The sequence below is a fragment of the Homo sapiens genome, chromosome 19 (assembly GCF_000001405.40).
Source record: "Homo sapiens chromosome 19, GRCh38.p14 Primary Assembly".
NCBI classification, from domain to species: domain Eukaryota; kingdom Metazoa; phylum Chordata; class Mammalia; order Primates; family Hominidae; genus Homo; species Homo sapiens.
In genome coordinates, this window is record NC_000019.10 from 38,695,652 (window position 1) to 38,701,664 (window position 6,013).

The window sequence follows — 6,013 nt, forward strand, 5'->3', positions numbered from 1 at the left end:
TTTACTCCCTTCCTTCTCGGAGTGGGCTCTGTCCCTTCTGCAGGAGGGCTTTGGCACATGCTCTTCCCAGTATCTGGAAGGTCTCCCTCATTTTTATCTTATTAACTCCTCATCCTTCAGCTCAGAGTTTGAGAATGACTTCTTCAAGGACACCTTTCTGTGTCTGCCTCACCAGTCGCTTGGTGCCCCCCCACCCCGCCACCATGCTGACCGCACTCTTCAGCTCCCATCCCAGGGGAGGTGACACAAACTCGGCCCCAGGAGCCCAGCACCTGGCTTTAAACCCAGCTCTGTAACTTTCTAGGTGTGTGACTGATGGGAGCAAGCCACTTCACCTCTCAGGCCCTCCGTTTCCTCATCTGCAAAATGGAGGCAGTACTAGCACCTCCCTCCAGAGATGATTACGAGGGTGACAGAATTAGTAAGTGACCAAGTGCCTCGAGCAGTGCCCGCCCCTAGTAGACTCTATGGAAGTGTCTGCTGCAGTTATTGCTGTTATTATTACCACTTTTCCTAAGGGCGTTATTTCTGGAGTGGACTGATCGCTTGATTAATGAGATCAGACCTGGAGCCTCATGAGAGTGTCTGCTTTTGCTCACTGTTATGGATTCAGCACAGGGCCTGGCCCTCTGCTGACCCCCAGCATATGCTTGTCCAGAGAATGAATATGTACGGACCCATGGTGGCCTGGGGCATCATGAGGTCGGCTGCCCACATTCTGAGAATTTTGCATGGTGGAGGGCGGCGTGGTGGGCGCATAGGGCCCCCATCTATAGAAACCACCTCTCCACACCATCCACCCCACGCAGCGTAGTCTAAACCGGGTAGGGAGAGGAAGGATGGAAGCAGAGTGTTATTTTTGTAACCAAGTAGAAGAAGCGATGAATTTTTAATGTCCCATTCGAACTCCAGCTCCTACTCACCAGTCTCTCCGCATGGAGAAGTGGCCGTCATGGTCGACCTGTTCCCAAGGGTGGCCTTGTGAGTGCAGGCTCTCCTCACCAGAGCTGAGGGCTTTGTGAACCTCTGATGTCAATAGATGCCCCTCATCTTCCAGGAGGACAAAACAGGGCAAAGCAAGACATGGGGTGAGAACAGGAGTGCATCAGTGGGGTTCCCCAAGCCTGTGTCAGGTCCGGATCTGGGTGGGAGTTCCCTTCTGCGTCATCCAGGCCAGGCGAGTGGGCATCCTCCCTGAGCACCTGTGCTTGGGGCTTTGCCTGTGTCAGTCAGGAAGACAGAGTACACGGAAGAGTTACCATTGCTTTCAGAGCAAACCTTCCTTTGACATGCATTTAACACAGCACGGAGTGATTGACATGTGTCCTTGTGTTTAATCCCTATCTTAACCTCTCGGTTACTGTCCTGTTTATCAGTGAGGAAACTGAGGCTTATTGCTTGCCTGAGGCCTCAGTGGCAGAAGCAAGATGTGAATCCGCACCTGTGTGATGCCCAAGCCAGAGCTCTTGTTTACTACCCAGAGAAGATGAGCACAGGTGGGATGTACGTATGGAGGGCGGGTAGGGCAGCAGCCCCTCTGAGGACAGGTGGCCAGAACCCAAGCGGCGAGGTTTGTTCACAGCCTCCACAGGGTGGGGTGGGGCCATCCGCAGAGGGTCTCCTGCCATCCCATTTTCCCTGCATACCAGTGGGTGGTCTGAGAGCCTTTGCAGAGAAGAGACTGGATCTCAGCACGTGCTTATGTGCGTGTGTACATGCACACACATGCGTGTGATTCATCTGGCTCTTACTTTATGCCAAGGAGCCTGTCACATGCTTTAAATGTATTTTCCCTAGTTTAATTCTTAGAGCACACTGCAGGAGGTAGATTCTGATAAATCCATCTTACAGGGAAGGAAACAGACTTAAGTAGGTAAAGTCACTTGGTTGAAAACATGGAATGAGTAAGCCAAGGGGCAGGTATTCAAACCCAAACCCAGGTCTGTGCCCCTGCAGAGCCTGCAGGAGCAGCCCACACAGGCCAAGGCTGTGAGGGGTGCTGTTTGCACGCGTGCGTGGCCCTCCCTGCAGCCCAGGTGCCTAGGTCTGGGCCTGGCAACACCAGAGCACGGGGCCTTGCCCTCGGGGAACAGCCCTCTTTTGTCCTCAGGCTGTGGGATGTGTCTTGGCTACTTTGCTGCCCAGCAGTGCCTGCTCTCAGGCACATGTGAGAGTAGAGGCCTAGCATCCGTGGCCACTTCCTTCCCAGCCCATTTGCTGCTGCCCTTTGCTCTGCAGGGCTGCTGGGCTCCTGGGCTCCACGCCTGCTTGCTGCCTGCCATCAAGGCTGGCAGTGCTCTGGGGCTGTAAAGGTGCAGGCGCCGTACTTCCCAACCCCTGGAGCTCGCACATGGTAGGAGAGAAAGCTCATGTGCATGCAACATCCAATAAGACTAAAAGTGACTGGGGGTTGCTACGGGAGAGGTGCTGAGGGTGGGCCGGGGACAGAGCAGGCACACTGTGGAGGGGGTGGGCAGGACTCCTGAGACCAGGGCAGGGAGGGAGGAGATGCTGGGAGGCACAGGGCCATCCAGAGAGCTGCCACTTCCTGAGCATTGCCATGCACGCTGCAGGCATGGCCATCTTGAGTCCTCACACTGCCCGTGGCCTAGGTGGGGTCTTCATCCCCACGTTGCAGAGGAGGAAATGGAAGTTAGGAAGGTTAGGTGACGTGCCCACATGAGTGGTGTAAGCATGGTTCCCGCCCTGGGCTCTCTGAATTCAGTATTGTATGGGGGAGGCTGGGAAGGTGAGTTAGTACTCTCCGCAGTGAGAACCTGCCTTGGCTCCCCTCCCCTCAAGGAGTTCATAGCCGTGGGAGGGAGGGAGACAAGAACTGTTGGAGACAAGAACTGTTAGAGACCAGAGAGCAAGGGCGTGATGTGGTCTGCAGGGAGGAGGCTGTCTGAGGCAGAACCGGGTCAGGGAGGCCATGGTGCGGGTACCCTCCAGGCACGGCATTTGGCCTGACTTTTGAGGGGTGCCCAGGGTTGGCTACATGGCGGGGCGGAGGTATCTTTAGTGGGGGAACAGCGTTGTGCCACCAGGAGGGGTCTCTGTCTCCCAGGTAGAGGAATTCTCCATGGTGAGAGGTGGTGGTGGGGGATGGTCTAGCTGTCCACTCTTGCCCCCTTTCGGATTTGGAAGGAAGCCCCATGCTGGGTCCACACTGGTATGGCGTATTAATTAGGCAGCTGCTTTGTCTGGGAGGGGGCTTTGTGTCGAGTCTCCCTGAATGAGCAGGGCTGGCGACAGTTGTCAAAACACATGGTGCTTGGTCAGAGCCCCCGTAGAAGCCCCTTGTCCTCCGCATGGCCTCCGCCTGCACCCGGGGCGTGGAATGTGCTCTTGTGTGTCCCTGGCTGTCTGCTTGCTTCTACACTGGCCCCTGCAGATGGAGGGGGTGGGGTACAGGGGTTCCTATAAGAAGCAGACACTTGGGGTTTTTCCCAGGTCCTGTTGCAGGAGGGTGCGTGGGCTGGTTTCCCTGAAGGCGCCTGGGCGTGTTGGTGTTAACTGATCTGAGATCTTCTGTGGCCCTGATGTCTATGAGCATGCCCCAGCTTGCAGGGGGCTGAGTAGCCGGGCACCACCAGGAGGCTGCGTGCCCTGTGCTTGGGTGTACCCATGCCCTGTCAGCATCGTTGGTCTGTTAGGGTCAGGGACTTCGGCTTCTTGTTTAGTACCCTCCATCCCTTCCAGTTGATCATCAGAAACATTCTCCTTAGATGCGGCTGCCTGACCCCGGTGAGGGGGCCTGCCTCCCACTTGCCTTCCAGCCTCCTCTAAGCTGCACTGAGTCTTAAAAATAGGAAGGATAGGGCTGGGTGTGGTGGCTCACGCCTGTAATCCCAGCAGTTTGGGAGACCGAGGCGGGTAGATCACTTGAGGCCAGGAGTTCAAGACCAGCCTGGCCAACATGGTAAAACCCCATCTCTACTAAAAAGACAAAAATTAGATGGGCATGTTGGCATACACCCGTAGTCCCAGCTACTCAGGAGGCTGAGGCATGAGAATCGCTTGAACCCAGGAGGTAGAGATTGCAGTGAGCTGAGATTGCGCCACAGCACTCCAGCCTGGGTGACAGAGCGAGACTCCTTCTCAAAAAAAAAAAAAGGAAAAAAAAGAATAGGAAGGATAGGGCATGGCATGTTCTCCAGGAGACAGAGGGACGGGGGCATCTTGCTTGCAGGAAGCCAGGCGACACAGGCGTGTGTGCAGGGCTCAGAGGGTCTGTGTTCCTGGCCTTTCCTGGGAGGGCTTGCTCTTGGGCTGCCCAAAGCTCAAAGAGAGACTCGAGGAAATCCTGCATTTATGGGAGCTTTTCTTTTCCTGCCACTTTCCTGTTCTGGGTTGTATCTGTGCACGTGATTGGAACGTAGCAGCCTGAGCTCCTGCCTGAGGAGAGCAGCCACGGGTCACGGAAGCCAGGGTCCAGCTGGGGCCTTTGGGTCTAGCTGGCAGATGAAGGGCTGGCCTTCATCAAGAAAACAAGCCCCATGAGGGCAGGAGCCCGACCTGTTCATTCCACACCACCGAGCCTGGTGCTCAGTCATGTTTGTGTGACTGAGTGAGCCGGCGGCGGGCTGAGGCGCTTTTGTCTGGTGTGCGTACTGGTCTCCCTTGAGGCAGCTTGGGGGTGTGGAAAAAGCACATGTTGCCAAAATTGACAGACCTGGGTTCAAATCCAAGCTCTGCCACTTACCGCCTGGATGGTCTTGTGATGGGTCATTAACCACCCCGAGCCTCAGTTTCCTCACATCTGCCTCCCGGGGTCACTGTAAGGATCAGAAACAATGTGTGTATCGGCCATGTACGGTGTGTGTCGGCGAGTGCTCCGTGGCAGCTGCGGTTCTCCTGAGGTCAGAGCTGCGGCCCTGCAGGTGTGTGGAGAGAGCCCCGACAGCCAGGCTGACTCTGCGCACTGTCCTTTGTTCTGCTTCCCCAGACCTTCACGGCATGGTGCAACTCCCACCTGCGGAAGGCAGGCACACAGATCGAGAACATTGATGAGGACTTCCGAGACGGGCTCAAGCTCATGCTGCTCCTGGAGGTCATATCAGGTGAGACTCCCAGCCACGCAGTGCGGCCGAGCCCTGGCACAGGTGCTCTGCCACAGCGGTCCCCAGAGACCCTGCCCACCCAGCTGTCCCATTGCTCCTGGGGAGGAGAGGGCACCCCTTAATAGCTGCACGGTGGTCTGATGGGTGGGGCCAGAGTGGCCTGGTGGGCCAGCAGAGGAACCTGCTTTTGGAGAACAGAGGAGACTCTAAAGCCTCTCTCCCTCTCGCCCTCTCTCCCTTTCTCTCTCTCTGTCTCGCCCCCTCTTTTCTCTTTGTGCACTTCTCAGGGGAGCGGTTACCTAAGCCGGAGCGGGGGAAGATGAGAGTGCACAAAATCAACAATGTGAACAAAGCGCTGGACTTTATTGCCAGCAAAGGCGTCAAGCTGGTCTCCATCGGGGCAGAAGGTGAGCTGGAGGTGGGGCAGCGAGGGTCCTGCTCGGTTTCTGACCTTTAGGCTCTGAAGCACAACATCTGCATCCTGAAGAGAAGTTTTGTTGGTGGCAGGGCGCTTGGGGCACTCAGAGCCCCAGTACATACTCAGCAGTGATCACAACAACTGCTCTTGATATGATGCTGGGCCCACAAGCTCCCCCAAACCCTTGGAAAAATCCGGTGGGCGCAGTCCAAATCTAGGAAGTGCAACCCACCCAACCACGGGGGCGACGGCTTCTGCAGGGGGAGGAATGGTTTTGACTCGGACTCAGGTCGCCCTCACTGGTTCTCCTTGTGCCAGGCTCAGCAGACAGTGACAAACATGTGCCATGGCCTCTCTCTGTACCAGGAACACCTTTCTCATTATGCCCTGCCCGGTATCAGAGAAGGACTGGAGGCCCCATGTCAGGCATTGGGACAGGGAGTGCACGGCCAAAGGTCAGTGCCTAGACTTTGCCCTGTGTGCATGGGCTTGGAGAATTTTGCCTCTGACCACCCCAGGATCCTCCTGGGCC

At 56.3% G+C, this 6,013-nt stretch overlaps 1 protein-coding gene across 7 annotated transcripts in view; it reads left to right on the forward strand.

Moving 5' to 3' along the window:
* Positions 1-6,013, forward strand: part of ACTN4 (actinin alpha 4) — an 83,941-nt gene that overhangs the window by 48,003 nt on the left and 29,925 nt on the right. For all 7 annotated transcript variants that reach the window (NM_004924.6, NM_001411143.1, NM_001322033.2 and 4 more), the window contains exons 2-3: positions 4,949-5,063; positions 5,351-5,470. In NM_004924.6, coding sequence (NP_004915.2) covers positions 4,949-5,063; positions 5,351-5,470 — 235 coding nt within the window. The remainder of the gene's footprint in view (positions 1-4,948; positions 5,064-5,350; positions 5,471-6,013) is intronic.